General features: G+C 38.6%; 1 annotated feature.

The window, feature by feature from the left end:
* Positions 701-1,639: an enhancer, noted in NCBI's record as "VISTA enhancer hs413". NCBI's record gives its function as "enhancer in: midbrain (mesencephalon)[4/5]" and the evidence as "EXISTENCE:transgenic organism evidence [ECO:0001131][PMID:17130149]".

Genomic DNA, 1,690 nt, shown 5'->3' with positions numbered 1-1,690 from the left:
TTCAGGATCTATATTCTCCAGCGACTAATAACTGGCAGTGGCAACCGGGGCCTAAGTGGAAGTGAGCAAGTTGGGCAGGGATTTAACTCACATCCCAAAGGCAAGGTCTGTACTGGTTGTTTGTTCAAATAACAGCTTAGCCTTAGAATGTAATACAAGGTACTCAAGTAAAATAAAAAGTAAACTCCACTCAGCAGAGCAGCCAGATCAAGGAGGAATTTGGCTTTATGATGGAACACATTAAATCTGGTAGGAGGAAATGAGTGTGAATGGTAGTCTTCCTCTCCCAGCAGAAACGAATAACATTTGATTTTGCAGAAATCAATCACAATGAGCGCCCCCTTGCTTTTGGCCACATCTCTGAGTATTACCTCCTTCATCAGGGGCAGTGCTGGGGCCAAAGAGGGGAAAGAGTAATTCACTGCAATTCACCACTTGTTAACTTTGGAGTTAAAAAAAAAAAAAAAAGGAAGGGGTGCATTTGAGGGAAGGAGGTGGGGCTTTCTAAATGAGTTCAGGGATTATTTGTAGATTTCATTTAATAATTCTCTACCTGACCCTCAAAATAATGGAAAAGTGAAAGTTTTATTAACTCATGAGAATATATGAAATTCAATCTCTACCTGCCACTTGTATCTTCAGGTAGAACATATAAATAGGGCAGATGGAAATGACATTGTTTAATTACCGAACATTCAATGAGGCAAACCCAAAATCAAAATATAAATATGCATTGTATAAACAGAGAAATTTAGAAGTCCATGTTAATTGTATCTAGTTAATTTTTAACAGCTTCCTGGTATATTAGCTTTCTAGGTTGCACTTCATGCCGTTCCTGTATTACTCTATTGACAGGCAGCTGGTGCAGTAATAAAACTGCTATTCCCAGATCTGCCAAGGGCTCAGAGAGAGATGAGTACAAGACAGATATCTACCCACTCACCATTTAACGTGTACCGTTTCCTACTGAACATGCAGATGGCATGGCGGTCCCAGATTTCATTTGAGTTAATCTAATCCCTCCACTGCTCCCACTAGAAAGGAGGGCATTAGCAGCCATATGTCAACCAGATTTGTCAGATTATTCATTACAATTAATTGCTGTTCTCACTTAAGGCCTTTAAGGCTGTGAATTGCTCTGAATTCTATTGCAAACACAAAATTATGAGTAAAAGACTTTAGCCCTGTCATTCAAATTTCACGCTGACCTTTATCAGCTTTTGGCTTTTCCATGGGTGCTGGGCTGAAAGCTTTCTAATTGGTGTTCCATTTCTTCCTCACTACAGGTAAGCTGTCGGCCTAGGCAATAAGTATGACCAGAAAGACAAGAGGAAAAACTCTTAGGTCCCAGCAGACAGTATTTAACTGCCAACTAATAATACATTAGGAAGGTAATGAAACGAGCTAGATGTCATAATCACCCAGTATACTAATTAAGCCTCTAAATACTGCAGGTTTTTAAGACATTTTCTGTCTTAGAAAGGCTTATTTTTGGAACCAAATTTCTTTTTACATTGTTTCATTATTCAAACTCTTTTGTAAGTTATTATGGATGATCATTAGAAATTAACCAAATTAATACCCACACCTTCACGTGAAGAAGTCAGATTTCAGGCTCCAATATGCTGGACCCCATCAATGTCATTTTAACATATTCTTAGATGAAGGAAACTTTGAGACTTCTCAGCTC

The sequence above is a fragment of the Homo sapiens genome, chromosome 2, assembly GCF_000001405.40.
Source record: "Homo sapiens chromosome 2, GRCh38.p14 Primary Assembly".
In the NCBI taxonomy this organism is placed as follows: domain Eukaryota; kingdom Metazoa; phylum Chordata; class Mammalia; order Primates; family Hominidae; genus Homo; species Homo sapiens.
The sequence above is the reverse complement of the archived record's forward strand: the minus strand, read 5'-3'. Positions and strand labels throughout refer to the sequence as shown.